General features: G+C 39.9%; 2 protein-coding genes across 20 annotated transcripts in view; one reads left to right on the top strand and one right to left on the bottom strand.

The window, feature by feature from the left end:
• The window catches only part of NLRC4 (NLR family CARD domain containing 4), a 41,295-nt gene extending 28,852 nt beyond the window's left edge, over window positions 1-12,443 (top strand). For 3 of the 4 annotated variants that reach the window (NM_001302504.1, NM_021209.4, NM_001199139.1), the window contains 3 exons: window positions 553-645; window positions 1,324-1,491; window positions 12,127-12,443. In NM_001302504.1, the coding sequence (NP_001289433.1) occupies window positions 553-645; window positions 1,324-1,491; window positions 12,127-12,419 (554 nt within the window). In that variant the 3' untranslated portion in view covers window positions 12,420-12,443. The remainder of the gene's footprint in view (window positions 1-552; window positions 646-1,323; window positions 1,492-12,126) is intronic. The other variant, NM_001199138.2, reaches the window with a different exon arrangement.
• Window positions 12,513-17,292, bottom strand: part of SLC30A6 (solute carrier family 30 member 6) — a 58,516-nt gene continuing 53,736 nt past the window's right edge. For all 16 annotated transcript variants that reach the window (XM_047444944.1, NM_001330479.2, XM_011532962.4 and 13 more), the window contains one exon: window positions 12,513-16,679. In XM_047444944.1, coding sequence (XP_047300900.1) covers window positions 16,179-16,679 — 501 coding nt within the window. In that variant the 3' untranslated portion in view covers window positions 12,513-16,178. The remainder of the gene's footprint in view (window positions 16,680-17,292) is intronic.

Genomic DNA, 17,292 nt, shown 5'->3' with positions numbered 1-17,292 from the left:
TCTGCCATTTTGCTATTTGTTTTTTTTCTCATCCATTTTTTACTATGTTTTTATTATTAATATCTCAACTATTATGTCAATAAAATCATCTAAGTTGAGGTACACAAAACCAGCTCATTTCATTTTTGTTGTTGTTGTTGTTCCTGTTTCTCCTGCATGATTAACGGCATTTTATAATTGAAGCAACTTTACATTTTATCTGGTCCAACTACCTCATTCTATAGAGGAAGACATTGAGGCTTAGAGAGACCAAGTGATTTTTCCATGATGACATAACAACTACATCCCATGCTGCTTTAGGTTCTACGTGACCTGGAATTCATTAATCAGAACCTAGGACCAATGACTATTTGCCCATTTGGTCATAACCATGGGATTTGGGGGTTACACCTACACCAGAGCCTTTGGAAATAATTAAAATAACCAAGGCAAGTTATGGTTTGCACTACCATTAGCAGAGAAGATAAAACTCAGAATTATTCTAAGGATACTTCAAAATACATTTATATTTACCTGAAAATCTTTTTATTTTGGATTACTTTTTTTCCCCAGCTCAGAATCTTCACAATTTGGTCAAACTGAGCATTCTTGATTTATCAGAAAATTACCTGGAAAAAGATGGAAATGAAGCTCTTCATGAACTGAGTAAGAATGACAATTCAGCCAAAATTAGATACTTGAATATGTATACTGGGTAGTCGAAATACATAGCCTGGGTCCTGAGGTCTTTTATACCCATGTGTGCCTTACTAGATGCACCCTCCTTAGGAAAATCATTTAGGCCTTTCTTAAACTGCCCTTAAGGAACACAGGCCCATGTCTTTTAAGTCACCAGTTTACATATGCTCACTGCACTTTGAGGCGGTATCCCACCTGCTTTCCTCCTTTGAAGAGGCAACTGTCAAGAGTAGCCGATGTGCAAGACAAATTTGCTTAAGGAATTGGTGATATGATTTTTTAGGTGTGATAGTGATATGTGATTATGGTTAAAAGAAAAAAAAGGAAAGAACTGATTCATATTGTCCATGATTTGCTTTAGAATAATACAGGAGGAATTAGGTCAGGATTAAGCAAGATTGCCCATGATTTAATGTTTTTGAAGGTGTCTTATTAGTATATATAGTTTCATTATATTCTTCTGCATAATGTTTGTATATGCTTGAATACTTTCCAAAAAAAAACCAAAAATTAAGTAGATTCTCATTACAGATTGAGTAGGCTGCAGAGCCACCAAACATAAAGATCATTCCTCCCCTAACACCCCTTTGTTCTTCCTCAGTTTTGAGACCATCCAGTCCCTGAACTGCTCTTTGTTTCTTCCAGTCGACAGGATGAACGTGCTAGAACAGCTCACCGCACTGATGCTGCCCTGGGGCTGTGACGTGCAAGGCAGCCTGAGCAGCCTGTTGAAACATTTGGAGGAGGTCCCACAACTCGTCAAGCTTGGGTTGAAAAACTGGAGACTCACAGATACAGAGATTAGAATTTTAGGTAGGTACACACATACAGAGCCAAGATAACTGGATTTGGCCCTTAAAAAATTCTTAAGTTGGCTTTGCTTATTTTGCCCCCTTATTTTATTTTGCTTCCTCTTTTTTTTAAAATATAAATATGTCTAATGAATTCATTCACGTTAGAGTAAGAAGACTTAAAACACTGGCCTTCCTTCAGATTCTATTTCCTTTACCTACAGAATTAAATGAAAAGCATTCACAGTATCCAACAAGATGTATTATATTAGTCATAGCTCTTACTAGCCTTAACTTTCTGAAATTCAGCAATGCCCCTCCCTCCAATATCAGGAAATATTTTCAAGTTACTTACTGGGTATTCAAAACATATAAAGGCGAATGTAGCTGTATCTAAATAGAGCCACAAAATATCTTTAAATAGCTGTAATATTATCCAGAAACAAATAGATCTATATAAATGACTGAAGACACCACCAACCTCAGGCAGTTGATGAAAGAAGCCTTCATACTATCTGTATTAGTTTTCAATTCCTGTATAACATATGGCCTCAAAACATAATGGCTTAAAACAATAACCATTATCTCACAGTTTCTGTGGTTCAGGAATTTAGGAGTTTAGCAGGTTAGCTCTGGCTTGACCTCTCTCATGAGAGGGGCTGCTGGAGGATCTCCTTCCAAGGTAGCTTCTCACATGGTTGGCAAGTTAACACTGGCTGTTGGCTGGAGGCCTCACTTCCTCATCATTAGACCTCTTCACAGGCTGTGAGTGTCCTCACAACATGGCAGCCCACTCATTTCTGGTCACTTCTGACATATCCCACTGGTTGCACAAGTTATTCCAATCCAGCGTATGGAAACATTAATACAAGGAGGTCAGGCTCATCAGGTTCAACTTGGAAGCTATCATACTAAAGCCAAGGACTTGTGAAAACAGCCTCGATTGCCTTCATTTCTCTTACAGATTGTCTAAAATGTGTTTAGTTTACGTAACGTACAATTTATTAAACTGTTTTTGTTCTTTGTTTTTTGTTTTTTTTTTAGACAGAGTCTTGCTCTGTCGCCCAGGCTGGAGTGCAGTTGCGCAATCTTAGCTCACTGCACACTCCACCTCCCTAGTTCATGCCATTCTCCTGCCTCAGCCTCCCGAGGAGCTGGGACCACAGGCGCCAGCCACCACGCCTAATTTTTTTTTTTGTATTTTTAGTAGAGATGGAGTTTCACCGTGTTAGCCAGAATGGTCTTGAACTCTTGACCTCGTGATCCGCCTGCCCTGGCCTCCCAAAGTGCTGGGATTAAAGGCTTGAGCCACCGCACCCGGCCCTATTTAAACTGTTTTTAAGTGTAAAAGCTTTGTGGCATTAAGTACATTCATATTATTGTGCCACTATCACAACATCCATCTCCAGAGCTTCTTCATCTTCCCATATATACACACACATATATATGTCCCCAACACTGGAGAACCTAGATATATAAAGCAAATATTGTTAGAGCTAAAGAGAGAGATAGAACCCAATACAACAATAGCTGGAGACTCGACACCCCATTTACAGCATTGGACAGATCTCCCAGACAGAGAATCAACAAAGAAACATCAGACTTAATCTGCACTATACACCAAATGGACCTATATTTATAGAGCATTTCATCCAACAGCTGCAGAATACACATTCTTCTCCTCAGCACATGGATTATTCTCAAGGATAGACCACATGTTAGGCCACAAAATAAGTCTTAAAAAATCCCCCAAAATTGAAATCTGATTCAAGTATCTTCTCTGACCATAATAGAATAGAATAAAACTAGAAACCAATAACCAGAGGAACTTTGGAAACTATACAAACATATGGAAATTAAACAACATGCTCTGGAATGACAAGTGTGCCAATGAAGAAATTCAGAAGGAAACTGAAAAATTTCTTGAAATAGGCTGGGTGTGGTAGCTGATGACTATAATCCCAGCACTTTGAGAGGCCAAGGTGGGAGGACTGCTTGAGCCCAGAAGTTTGAAACCAGCCTGGGCAATATGGTAACATGTCGTCTCTACAATTAAAAAAAAAAAAAAAAAAATATATATATATATATATATATATATATATTTAAAATTTCTTAAGACAAATGAAAATGGAAACACAACATACTGAAACCTATGGGATACAGTGAAAGCAGTATGTCCCCTCCCCTCCTTCCCTCCCTCCCTTCCTTCTTCCTTTCCCTCCCTCCCTTCCTTCCTTCCTTCCTTCCTTCCTTCCTTCCTTCCTTCCTTCCTTCCTTCCTTCCTTCCTCCCTCCCCCACCCCTCTCTTTCTCTTTGAGACAGGGTCTCCCTGTTGCCCAGGCTGGAGTGCAGGGATGTGATCACAGCTCACTAACCTTGAACTTCTGGGCTCAAGGGATCCTCCTTCCTCAACTACCCAAGTAGCTGGGACTAGAGGCCACTATGCTCCGCTAATGGACCTTCCTCTTCAACGACCTTCCCTTCCACTCTCCTTCATCCATTCATTCTATGAGCATGCAATGACTAGATTATGACAAGCCACTTAAAATTGTTCTACCTGCAAAATAATAAATGCAGATATCCCATTCTCAAACCACAACCTCCTGTATTTCTATCTACTCCTAATCACCAGTTCTTTTACTTCACTGGGACTTCCAGTCCGTCGATCCCGCTACCTTCTACCTATTTTTCAGGCCCTTTCTATTTTGACTTGCCTTCCTACCTAGTTTCAACTCCATCTTCCATCCCTGCAAACATTCTTGTCTTTAATAGCTGAAATTCTCATGGCCCACAGTAGCATGAGTCAATTCAGGCAATGACTTTGAGTGATGGATGTGTGTGATAGATGCAATGGTGAAATGAAGAGTGTAATGAGAGATGGAGTCTCTAATTAAAGAAAGACTACCTAATGAGATGCAGGCAGAACATGAGATGTGGAATGAGAGGTATGAAATGAAATATAGTAGATGGGGTGTACTTTCCTGACAAAACCCCAGGCCTGGATTGTCCTTAAATTTCCCTTTTTAAAATTTTGTAACTACACTTAGGATACTGGGGAAAAACTGCAAAATTTGGGAGATAAATACAAGTTCATACTGACAAATTTCAACGAAAATATTTAGAAGTGAATGGTAAGAAAACGCTGTATATCAAAACTTGTAGCATGCAGCAAAAGGCAGCAAAAAAGAGTAACTTTACAGTGGAGAAAGCTGTTGACACTACCTTGGTCAGGTGAACAAGGTCAACATTAACAGTGGTGATTCATGTTGATAGTATGTACCTAGATATGACATGACGAAAATAGTACTTTACCTCTATGATATTCCTCCCCAAAGATCCATATCCCCCATCTAATGATGAGAAAAACATCAAACAATCCTAACTGAGGGACTTCTACACAAAACTGACCAGTATTCCTTGAAACTGTCAAGGAAATAAAAAACAAGGTGATTGTGAGAAATCGTCATAAGCATGAGGAACCTAAAGAGACATGACAATGAAATGTAATGTCCTATCCTGGATGAGTTCCTGCAACAGAAAAAAAGACATTTGGTCAAAACTAAGGCTGGGTGTGGTGGCTCACGCCTGTAATCCCAGCACTCTGGGAGGCCGAAGTGGGCAGATTGCTTGAGCCCAGGAGTCCGAGCCCAGTCTGAGCAACATGGCAAAACTCAATCTCCAAAAAATTAGCTGGGTGTGGCAGCGTACGCCTGTAGTCCCAGCTACCTGGGAGGCTGAGGTGGGAGGATGGCTTGAGCTCAGGAAGTTGAGGCTGCAGTGAGCTGTGATCATGCCACTGCATTGCAGCTTGGGTGACAGAGTGACACCCAGTCCCCCACCCCCCCCCCACAAAAAAAAATAGAAAAAGAAAGAAAGTGAAAATACAACCTACAGAATGTGAAAAAAAAATTGCAGATCACATTATCTAATAAAGGACTTCCATCTTGAATATATAAAAAAACTCTTATGGCCGGGCGTGGTGGCTGACACCTGTAATCCCAGCACTTTGGGAGGTTGAGGCAGGTGGATCACAAGGTCAGGAGTTCGAGACCAGCCTGGCCAATATGGTGAAATCCCATCTCTACTAAAAATACAAAAAAATTAGCCGGGCGTGGTGGCACATACCTGTAATCCCAGCTACTCTGGAGGCTGAGGCAGAAGAATTGCTTGAATCCTGGAGGCAGAGGTTGCAGTGAGCCGAGATTGCGCCACTGCACTCCAGCCTGGGTGACAGAGTGAGACTCCATGTCAAAAAACAAAACAAAAAAACTCTTACAACTCACTGATAAAAAATGCAAATAACCCAATTTGTAAAATGGGCAAGAATCTGAACAGACATTTCACCAAGGAAGATATGTAAATCGCAAAATAAATAGCAGAAAACATAATCAATATCATTAGCCATCAGGGTAATAATGTAAACCAAAACTACAATGAGATACCACCTGAGACCCACTAGGGATGGTTATTATTTTTTATTAAAAGACATACAATAACAAGTGTTGTTGGCAAGGATACGGAGAAATTCATATGCTGGTAGTTAGAATGTAAAATGATGCAGCTGCTGAGGAAAACATTCTGGCAAGTTGTTCAAAATGTTAAACATAGAGTTGTCATATGACCCAGCAACTCTCTTCCTAGGTACTCAAGATAAATGAAAACCAATATCCACATAAAAACTTGTATATTAATGTTTATAATAGCATGTTTAGTAGCTCAAAAGTGGAAACAACTCAAATGTCCATCAAATAATGAATGGATTAAAAAATGTAGTATGAAAAAAATTAGCTGTGTGTGGTGGCACATGCCTGTAATCCCAGCTACTTGGGAGGCTGAGGCAGGAGACTCTCTTGAACCGAGAAGGTGGAGGCTGCAGTGAGCCAAGATCGCGCCACTGAACTCCAGCCTGGGTGGGAGAGTGAGACTCTACCTCAAAAAAAAAAAAAAAAAATAGCGGGGGCTGGGCCCAGTGGCTCACGTTTGTAATCCCAGCAGTTTGAGAGGCCAAGGCGGGTGGGTCACCTGAGGTCAGGATGGCACCACTGCACTCCGGCCTGGGAGACAAAACAAACAAACAAACAAAAAACAGTGAATAAACACAATCTCTCTTAATATTTCCTGGCAATCTTACTGTGTTTCTGTATTCAACACTGTATGTAAACTATTTCACACTTTTTTCTTCTCAATCAGTACTCAGCGTCTCCTATTTCACAGAGGATGTGACTGTTATTTTTTTCTCTCCTTCTCCTTAGAGCTTATAGGTTTCTCTTCTCCTACCTAAGGGCAGTCTCTTTAGCAGTGCTTGAGATGCCAGCCTCACCCTCACTCCAGTTCAGGGACATCATTTTATTGACTGTGCCTCTTGTTACTGACTCCCTCCTGTCAGTTTTTAAAGTTGCTCAAATCTCTTCCATTTTAAATAAAACTCTCCCTGAGTCCTATCTTCCTCCTTTGGTTATCATTCTATCTCTCCTCTCCTTCAAGGTAAAAGCTCTAAAACAAATTTTATGTACCCTTATGACATCTCCATTTCCTGACCATCTGCTACTTTCTACTCATTGCATCTGACTCTCCACACCCCTCCATGTGGCTGAATTTCAATAGACACTTTCAGAAGTGTTTAATTTATTTGATTCCTCCGCAGGAGTTGACACTGAGCATTCCCTTCTTTTCAAAACATTCTCTTGACCTCCATGCCACCTTGGCTACTTCTCAGTCTTCTTTTCAATGGTGATTCCTCTACCCAGATATTAAATGTTTCTAGTTTTCCTTAAAGCTTGGTCTAGACTATCTGCTGTTCTTCCTCAGAGATTGCATTTGATCTCCAAGCTTTGCCATGTTTTGCTTGACTCCCAAAATTTTGTTTCTTACCCATCAGCAATCTGAGACTACAACATAAAAATCATTGCTAGCTCAGGTATCTATTTCACCTGTTTTTTTGTTTGTTTTGTTCCAGGCTGCAGTGCAGTGGTGCGATCTTGGCTCACTGCAACCTCCGCTTCCTGGGATTCTCTGTTCTCTATTCGCTTCTCTGAATCTCAAGTGATTCTCCTGCCTCAGCCTCCCCAGTAGCTGGGATTACCGGTCCATGCCGCCACTATAAGTATGTGCCATTATAAGTGTGTGCACTATGCCCAGCTAATTTTTGTATTTTTAGTAGAGACGAGGTTTCATCATGTTGGCCAGGCTGGTCTCAAACTCCCGACCTCAAGTGATCTGCCTGCTTCAGCCTCCCAAAGTGCTGGGCTTACAGGCATGAGCCACCATGCCTGACCAATTTCACCTGCTCTAACAAAACCCTTTGTTAAATGGTATCTTTCAACTTGGATGTTTGAAGCTGAACTCTGCTATCCAGCCTGTTCTCAAAGAGAGCTCATGCCTGTAATCCCAGCACTTCGTGAGGCCAAGGTGGGTGTATCACTTGAGGTCAGGAGTTCAAAACCAGCCTGGCCAACATGGTGAAACCCTGTCTCTACTAAAAATACAAAAATTAGCTGGGCGTAGTGCACATACTTATAATCCCAGCTATACGGGAAGCTGAGTTGGCAGGATCACTTACTTGAGCCAGTGGGGCAGATTGCAGTGAGCTGAGATTGCACCACTGCACTCCTGGGCAACAGAGCCAGAACCTGTCTCAAAAAAAGAAAAAAAAAAAGCCATCGCAGACCCTATTCATGTTCTAGAAGCTCTGTGTTAAATCCTGGGCCCAATCATTCTGCTGTATAGATCCCGCTATCATATTTTATTTTCCAAAAGCTCTTTCTTAGCATCTTATTGTTGCTGAGTAGATGCAGTCTACTGAAAAACTTAGGATCTCTGAAAAACTTAGGTCTTTGGAGTTTGATTTTTCTTGTTTTCTACAGTGCCTGATTTCTTTGGGAGTTGTTTTGGCTTTTAGTCTCAGTCTTCCTTGTGGGAGGCTGTTGTCAAATGTCTGATAATCCTGCACTGTCCTCTTCACATTTTAGAGGGAGACACAAGTTGATAGGGAGTTCTGTGTGTCTAAGGGAGGCGGTGAATTTTTGACAGGCTAACTCCACTAGGGGGTGATTGGGCAAGCAAAATGGCCCCTTCTTTGTAGGGCCTTTTCCCGGGGGGCAGTTCCATTTCTCCTAAGAATCCTCCAGTCTTCCTCCTGGAGCATATAAGCCCAATTGCAAGTGTTCTGGGAACAAAGTGGAGTGGGAAAGCCTATTGCTTTTGTGTGCTCCCAGGGTACCCTGACCTACCATAGCACCCACCACCCATCTAATTACTTTATAATGCATGTCTTCACACTATTTTGTAAGCCCATTTAGACAGGGACCATGTCTGTCGTTTACACATATCCCCAGCACCCAGCATAATCCGCAGCACATAGTAGCACTAAAGATGTTGCTGAATGAATAAACAGTGAGAACTCTGGTACTCGTTCAGGTGAACTACAGGACAACACAAATGAAGAGTTGTGTTTGGGATACAGGAACCCCCAAGAATCAGAACCCTTCTACCCAGGGCATCTGAGATTTTTCCTGGAATTCCAATCAAGCCATTTGCACTCTCCACAGCCCACATACAGCCTATGGCTCTAAATGTCATGGATTCTGTTTCTCTTGGATCTAGTCTGCTCCTCATAACATAAGCACTGCAGATTAAATGAACAAAAGGCATGCCCTTGGCTTATGACAAATGTTGTTTGTTCTTGGTTCCTGCACTAGCACACATTCCAATAATTATCTAAGAAACTCTCTTAAATTGATGATAAGATCCTTATACCTTAGTAGATAACCACTATAAATTGCTCACCCTGTGAGGGTGGAATGGGCTTTAAATTCTTCTTAAATTCCTTTTAGGTGGTGAAAATATGTTCTGCTAGCTGAGAAGGAGAAAAAAAGTTGATCTTTGGGGAAAGAGCCTTAAATAGACACACAACTGGCAACCAGCATTTGGACTGAGTGCATGCCATGCTGGGAAGCATATGGAGAAGGGGCAAAGGCAGAAAGGACATGAACATGAGATGGAAGAGAGAGCAGGGAGAAAGCCATCCTCCAAGGAACAGAGGAGGTGGAAGGCAGGGGAAAGTAAGGACCTAGGTACTATTTGGGCTGGGCATAGGCTACGCTGTGATAACAGAGACCCAACTATACCATGGCTTACAGAAGGCAGAACTTGATTCTCTATCATGTAACAGTCCAGAAATGAGCAGTCCAGGCAGGTGGGGTGGTTTTCCTCTGTGCAGTCTTTCAGGCCCAGACCCCTACTTTTTTTTTTTACTCCTCTATTCCTTAAGAGTGTTATTTTTGACTTTATGGCCATAGCTAGGTCACTGCCCTGTGATCATTTCAACCTAGTAGAAGAGGGGAAAAGCGGAAAAGTGACATGGAAGTTGCACACATCACTTCTGCCTATACTTCCTTGGCAAAAATTTAGCCACACCTAATAGCAAGGGAGGTTGGGATATGAGTGGCCATATGCCGAAATAAAACTCTATTAACTATGGAATAAGGAGAGACAGTTTTGGGAACAACTAGCAGTCTGTCTCACTTTTCTTCTCTTTTTTTTTTTGAAATGGAGTTTCACTCGTTACCCAGGCTGGAGTGCAATGGTGTGATCTCTGCTCACCGCAACCTCTGCCTCCTGGGTTCAAGTGATCCTCCTGCCTCAGCCTCCCGAATAGCTGGGATTACAGGCATGCACCACCACGCCTGGCTAATTCTGTATTTTTACTAGAGACGGGGTTTCTCCATGTTGGTCAGGCTGGTCTCAAACTCCTGACCTCAGGTGATCTGCCCGCCTTGGCCTCCCAAAGTGCTGGGATTATAGGCATGAGCCACCGCACCCGGCCTCTGTCTCACTTTTCAAATTAATAAAAGTGGCAAAGAAGGCCCAAAGATGGTGTCAGTGACACTGACCATGGGTAAGAGACATGAAGGCAGAACCCTGTGAATCATCTCCTTACCTGGCTTTGCCCACTTTAGCCGCTAGCATCTTGACCACGGTCAGGCAGGGCCAATCACTTTAGGTGTCTGTAAAGAAGAACCTGAAGACCTTTCGAAACTCAAGACCTTATGATGGTGATAAAAGCATTGGCTGACATTGACTAAGGACACACTCTAGAATGTACTTAGTTGCACTGAACAAACTACACAAGGCCATGCAGTGACATCAGACACCAAATTCACAGATCTCCTCTCACTACGGAGCTGGTAAACACCTTTACTGAAAGTGGGTAAGGGTATAGTTTCAGTGCATAACTAGGTTGACCTCACCCACGTAAGCTGGTCGGACAAGACTGTCCATTTCTGTCATTAAGCCCTCATTACTGGTAGCAGATACCTTTTAGTCTTTGCTTGCTAACCTTAAGGTTGTACAGCACCGAATCTTTCCTTCTTTAACTTGAACTCTTTAGTGGTCTTCTCACTGAGACAATGGAAAGGAACTTTTAAAACCTCTTTTCCTACTTGGAATCCAAACTGAATCATGGACCTTCATTTCCATAAGGGTCAGTTTCTGGAACATTATCTAATATTACACATCTCCCAAGAAACACAAGTTTAATATACAACAAATTAACCCTCCAAAGTTGGGTGAGGTACACTAAGACTAAGATGAGCTCGGATGAGCCGAGTAATGTGGATTGATAAACCAGGCATACATCTTCTGCATTTTGTGTGTGATACTCTGGAGTATAAACATGTAAGTAAGAGTTCCCATGTCCAGTCTGCCTGTCTGTCCACTCTGTACTTCAAGGTGAACTTAGTCATCCAGAAAGGGCCAGGTAGGTGGGTAGGGCTAACGCTTTGCACAATTTAATATGTGTAATTAACACAGAGCTAGTTTTGTGAAATCCTAATGTTGTATACTGGCCAATCTGTATGATGGTAAATAACCTGAAAGAAAGGTATTTTTTCTTATTGCAAGACTCACTTGGGTTCCAGTACCACCTAAACTGGTAACATGGGATAAAGAATGAACACTAAACTATTTGTGTATGTATACACACACACACACACACACACACACACACACACACATCCTTTGTATGTATGTGTGTGTGTGTGCATTCTTTGTGTATCAGAAAGACAGGATATCCACCTACCCTATGTAGGAAATACTTTAGGTGCCCTATTCTGTAAGGAATGGAGGAACTTCCTGAAGAGGCTCGGGAGGGTTATACATAAACAGGTAAACAAAAACACCCAAATCTTTAGATACTGAAGGAGGCTCACTTACTCAAGTTTACAGTTAGGAACATACCCATAGAAACAACAGTTAGGTGGTGTTTACTTTTTCAGAAGAGGAAACGACTTAATATTGCCAAAGATTGACTCCAGTTTTGAAAACAAGTACTGAATATTTAATTAAAGCAACCTTCCATTTCCTAGGAGTAAGGAAAAGGGGAAAAAAAAGTAATTCATTTACATATTGTTGCTACCTCACTACGAATCACTATTTATCAGATTCCCTTATACTCTAGGAAAATATAATAGACCATATTCACAATCACTGCCCTAGCTATAGAGAATTATATTAATAATTTCTTTCTGAGGCAAAGCACTGGTTCAAACATGGCCATTTCAGAGTGAAAAAAAAGTATGTAAAATAAATGTAGAACCTATTTCTCTTTTTTTTTAAAAAAAATTTTTCTTCCAACTAATATACTTATTTCTTTACCCAGGTGCATTTTTTGGAAAGAACCCTCTGAAAAACTTCCAGCAGTTGAATTTGGCGGGAAATCGTGTGAGCAGTGATGGATGGCTTGCCTTCATGGGTGTATTTGAGAATCTTAAGCAATTAGTGTTTTTTGACTTTAGTACTAAAGAATTTCTACCTGATCCAGCATTAGTCAGAAAACTTAGCCAAGTGTTATCCAAGTTAACTTTTCTGCAAGAAGCTAGGCTTGTTGGGTGGCAATTTGATGATGATGATCTCAGTGTTATTACAGGTGCTTTTAAACTAGTAACTGCTTAAATAAAGTGTACTCGAAGCCAGTAAGTGCTCTGGGACCTCATTATTTTAAGCCTGGTAGTTAAAAAAAATCTTGCAAAAGGATGCCAAAGAAGATAAGGACGTGGAAAGAAGTTTAATTTGATGATTAAAAACATGCAACAGTTTTGTGTCTTAGCTCTCCTACTAGGATTATCGGCGCCTTGAAGGAATTCTCATTCATCTTTGTGTTACCTTTGGTCTGGGTCACACCAACTGGTATACTGAATGCATATTAACTTAGTATAGTGCCTGGCATGTAAGAGATTCTCAACAATATTCTCAATAAATATTCGCTGAATATGAGATAAATTATTAATAGCTACTGAATAAAGAAAGATTATTTAAAACCAGAGAGGAAACTCCATATATGTTCTTTAATCCAAACAGTTTAATTCAAGCAATCTGGAATATAAAAAGCACTTTCTGATATTAGAAGGAGATCAGACTCCCAAAAAAGATCAGCATTCTTTAGTCAAGCAAAACTTGGAAGTTTACAAACAGCTAAATCAGAAGCTTGAAATTCAGGTCCTCTCCAGTACCTGCTACATTATATGTAATTCCAAACATGACTTCAGAGATTAAAGAAGAAAGGGAAGATGTTTCCCATTCTTTTGTACCCTATATAAACTAAGGGTACCCTGCCCTAATCTTTTTTCCAACACTTCCCCAAATAACCCTTCCTTACAAAGAAAGAAGTCTAAGAGAACTCTCTCATCTAAATATATTTAAGTAGAGGCAAGCCTGAAAAAAACACAAAAACCTAAATGGTGTTAGGCTGTGGTTCACCTATTCTCATGGCACCTCAAATTAATGGCTTGGGTGTTGGTGTAGGTAACGCTTGGCCTGTATGTTGAGGTAGTCACTAGATAAAATTCTGGGCACAACATCCGTTTAGCAATTGGGCATACATTCTACAGATTTAGCCATAACGTTTTGAAGCTGATTATTTTACAGATCAACTAATTAATTCCTCTCCCTAACTTTACAGATGAGAAAGCTCAGATGATTTGCCCATGGGTTATAAAACTACTTCCTTACACAGTGGCAGCATCAGAACTGGAATTCAGATCTCTTGCCTCCTAGGCAGTGTTTTTCCTATTATAATATGGTGACTTCGTAAAGCAGGGTTAATTACATTCCACAAAGCTTACATCCTAATCACAAACAATGGGACAAATATTTAAATTGAACTTCTTTCTCTGTCTAGCTTCAAGTGATTCTGTGGCAAGATTTACTAGTAAGGCTGCTGCCTATAGGCCTATGCTGGGCAAGTTCCTTATTTTCATATCCAGAAGTTAGTCAGAGCTTGGCAAATAAGACTTCTCTATATAATAATGCCTGGCCCAATGTCCCCTGTAACATCTTACATGCAGGACGTAGGGCCAATTCTTTCATAACCCACAGGCAACTGTGAGTGTCCTTTCTCAAATAGTGAAGGTAGGTATTAAAGCACCTTTGGTGGGACAGATGCACAGGTGTTGCCTCTGAATTGGTGTTGAGGAAGTAGGCATAAAACCTCACACAGAACTGTGTTTGGTACCTGAACACTTTAAAATCCTATGGGGATGGGGAAGACATGCATGGGGTGGCAGCACATACCTCTTAACCATAACTCAGGACACGGCAGTTCAGATTTCATGCATGACCCTAATTCATATTTAGTTGAGATCAATGGAGGAAGAAGAATCATCCTGTAATAGTAGACCAATAACAGATACAGTAATAGTTGGAAAACATAAGATAAAGGCCAAGGAACAGGTTGCCTTATTACATTTTACGAAGTATCATTTTCCCCAGTAGTCAAGGTAGTGTAGGCTGTATTTCTTTAGCAGGTCACATGCCTGAACAGGGGTTGCAGATGCCAAAGACAATGACCAACTCCTCACTAAGAAAAAGGTATTTAGGACATGGTCACTTATTACCACAGATGACAATTCTGCTTGACAGAGATGGCTTCTTGGATGTTTTTAATCCACAGTGAAGAAAAAGGATTTCAAAGTGCTGCTCCTATTTGAAAGTGAATGAGTTGACTGAAGAAACTGTTGCAAAAGAAAAACAAAAATCTTCTCTAGATAGCTGGCTGATGGCTGGGAAAGTCATAAATCTCCAGGAGCATTGGATTCCAGGAAAGTTAAGTCCATTCTCAAAATCCCATTTTAAAACTGTTATGGAATGCATAATAAAATAAAACAATAAAAAACCCTCCTAGGTCATGTGTGACTGCTGCTTGTTATACTTTTTGGAAGTAATACTAGCCATGTTAGAAAGTCCTTAAACTCTGCATTTGGAAAACAACTAAAAAATAACATAATCTATGTAATTCTCACATTTCATCACAGTTAACAATTTCCCATTTTTGACAAAGCAAAACAAAAAGAAACTGCCCACTGCAGACCTAACAATGCTGTATTCTATAATCTAAGGTCCATTATGCTTTGGTAAAATTATATATGCTCAAATTCTTTGTGCAACTTGAAAAGACATCAAATTCCATATTATGTATGGAACTCCATGTGTTTTGGTAATATATCTGATATATTTTGTTAATAAAATAAGAAATTAAAAAGCCAATGAATGAAAATGTGTCAGGAAAGATAAATTCATTATGTCAGTATTTGATTAAATGTAACATAGAAAATTGGGATTCTTTCACTGCATATCACCAAAAGTTGGGTAGTCACTTAATCAAAATAAAACACTGAGAACCATGGACTATTTACAAATGTACTAAAATTTTTAAAGGAGAGAAACTTTAACAAAAATCTTGATAATTAAAAATTCAAATTGTGCTAGATAGAATGTATTCCAAAATTTCTGCTAAAAATTTTTGCTTTTAGTTTGTAAGACATAATTCAGGAGAACCTCAAAGAAAAATTTAGCAATTAAGTTTGGAAAAGCTATAAAAGAGACTTTTACTTTTTGAACAGACATTTTTCCCTTTCCCAAAATGTGTATTATTCAAGAAGCATATTTATAAATTTCATTAAAGAAAATATCGGCCAGGTGCGGTGGCTCACACCTAATCCCAGCACTTTGGGAGGCTAAGGTGGGTGGATCATGAGGTCAGGAGTTCAAGACCAGCCTGGCCAACATGGTGAAATCCCCCGTCTTTACTAAAAATACAAAAATTAGCTGGGCGTGGTGGCAGGTGCCTGTAATCCCAGCTACTCGGGAGGCTGAGGCAGGAGAATCATTTGAACTCAGGAGGCAGAGGTTGCAGTGAGCTGAGATCATGCCACTGCATTCCAGCCTGGGCGACAGAGTGAGACTCCATCTCAAAAAACAAAACAAAACAAAAACTAAGGAAGCCTTAATAAAGTACAGCCTTAAGTTAATAATAATGTATTGGCCGGGCACAGTGGCAGAGCAAGACTCCGTCTCGGAAAAAAAAAGAAATATCGTATCTTAGTAATGTGACAGATCTACTCCATCAAGTGGCTCTTATAAAGGTAAGGTCACATCACACTGCAGTCAACTACAAAACCAAAGATACCAAAATCCAAATTTAAAGAAACACATTTTCTAAAGGAAGCCTATTTAAAGCCTTTAACATTTACGAGGATTTCACTGTCACAAATACATTTTACAAAAATATAGTTTCATAGGTTTCATGAAATGTGAACAAGACTACTATTATCTAACATTTAGAGTAAATGATTAAACAGTCAATGCAAAGTTGGATTACTAAATAAATTGGAAGCCAAGGAGTCAATATTCCTTATAAAAATAAGTTAGAGTCTATCATGGTCTTGGTTGTCCAATTCTATTATTAGTTCCATATCTACTTGGTATATTTGTAAAACCAGTCCTCAATCCTTGAGTTGCTCCAATTCCTGGAACTCCAAGTCCTTGATTAAGCATGCTGCTGTAAGGTGTGTGTCCATGATTGAGACCAAAACCATAAGGCCTTGTTTGTGTGTTTAGAAGAATAACTGGGTTCACATTTTTCCCAGGAGTGTTAAATGAAAATTCTGGAGGTGGACTACTAGGTTTAGCTGGAGTTGATGTAACTGGGTTCAAATCATCAGTACCCTTTAAAAGAGGCATTGGGATTACGTGATGATCTGAAAAGTTTAGGACATTGGCTGCAACAGGCCCAGACAATAAGGCAGGCCTAATCCAGTCATCCTTGAAAATTTGAACAGTTAGAGTAGACACTAGAGTGTACAGCCTGTTGGTCACATGAGCAAGAACCATTTGTTCATTGGCATCTCGTCGAATTCTTACATGCACTGATCCAGCCTAAAAGGGGCAAAATCATAACAAAGAGATTGCTTAGAATTATACTAACAAAAAATTCATTAGATAAAACATTTTATTTATGATTTGGTAAGTTCCTGGCATTTTCTTTGAAAGAAAAAGCTTAATGTTAATATTTCTTAAAGACTACTTGCTGGTGATTATCATTGTAATGAGTTAAATAATTTGTGAATCTTTAAAATACAAAAAAAGAAATATCCATGTAGGAACAAGATAGGAATATTATAATACAAGGAAGAATATAAATGAAACATACAAAAAATACAATGTAAGAGCCGAAAAGGTAGGTATTAATTCCAATTGAAGAGGACTTCAAAAGAAGATGGCATTTAATCTACGGTTGGTGATTAAACAGAATTTCAAAAAGTAGAGACGCATTCCACACTGAGGGAAAAGCAATGAAAATGTATGGCATACTTGGTAAGAATAAGCAATAATACCAATATATAAAGAAGTCCTGGCCGGGCGCAGTGGCTCACATCTGTAATCCCAGCACTTTGGGAGGCCGAGGTGGGTGGATTACCTGAGGTCAGGAGTTCGAGACCAGCCTGGCCAACATGGTGAAACCCAGTCTCCACTAAAAATACAAAAAATT

The sequence above is a fragment of the Homo sapiens genome, chromosome 2 (assembly GCF_000001405.40).
Source record: "Homo sapiens chromosome 2, GRCh38.p14 Primary Assembly".
Lineage (NCBI taxonomy): Eukaryota > Metazoa > Chordata > Mammalia > Primates > Hominidae > Homo > Homo sapiens.
This window is presented reverse-complemented; position numbering and strand designations above follow the sequence as displayed.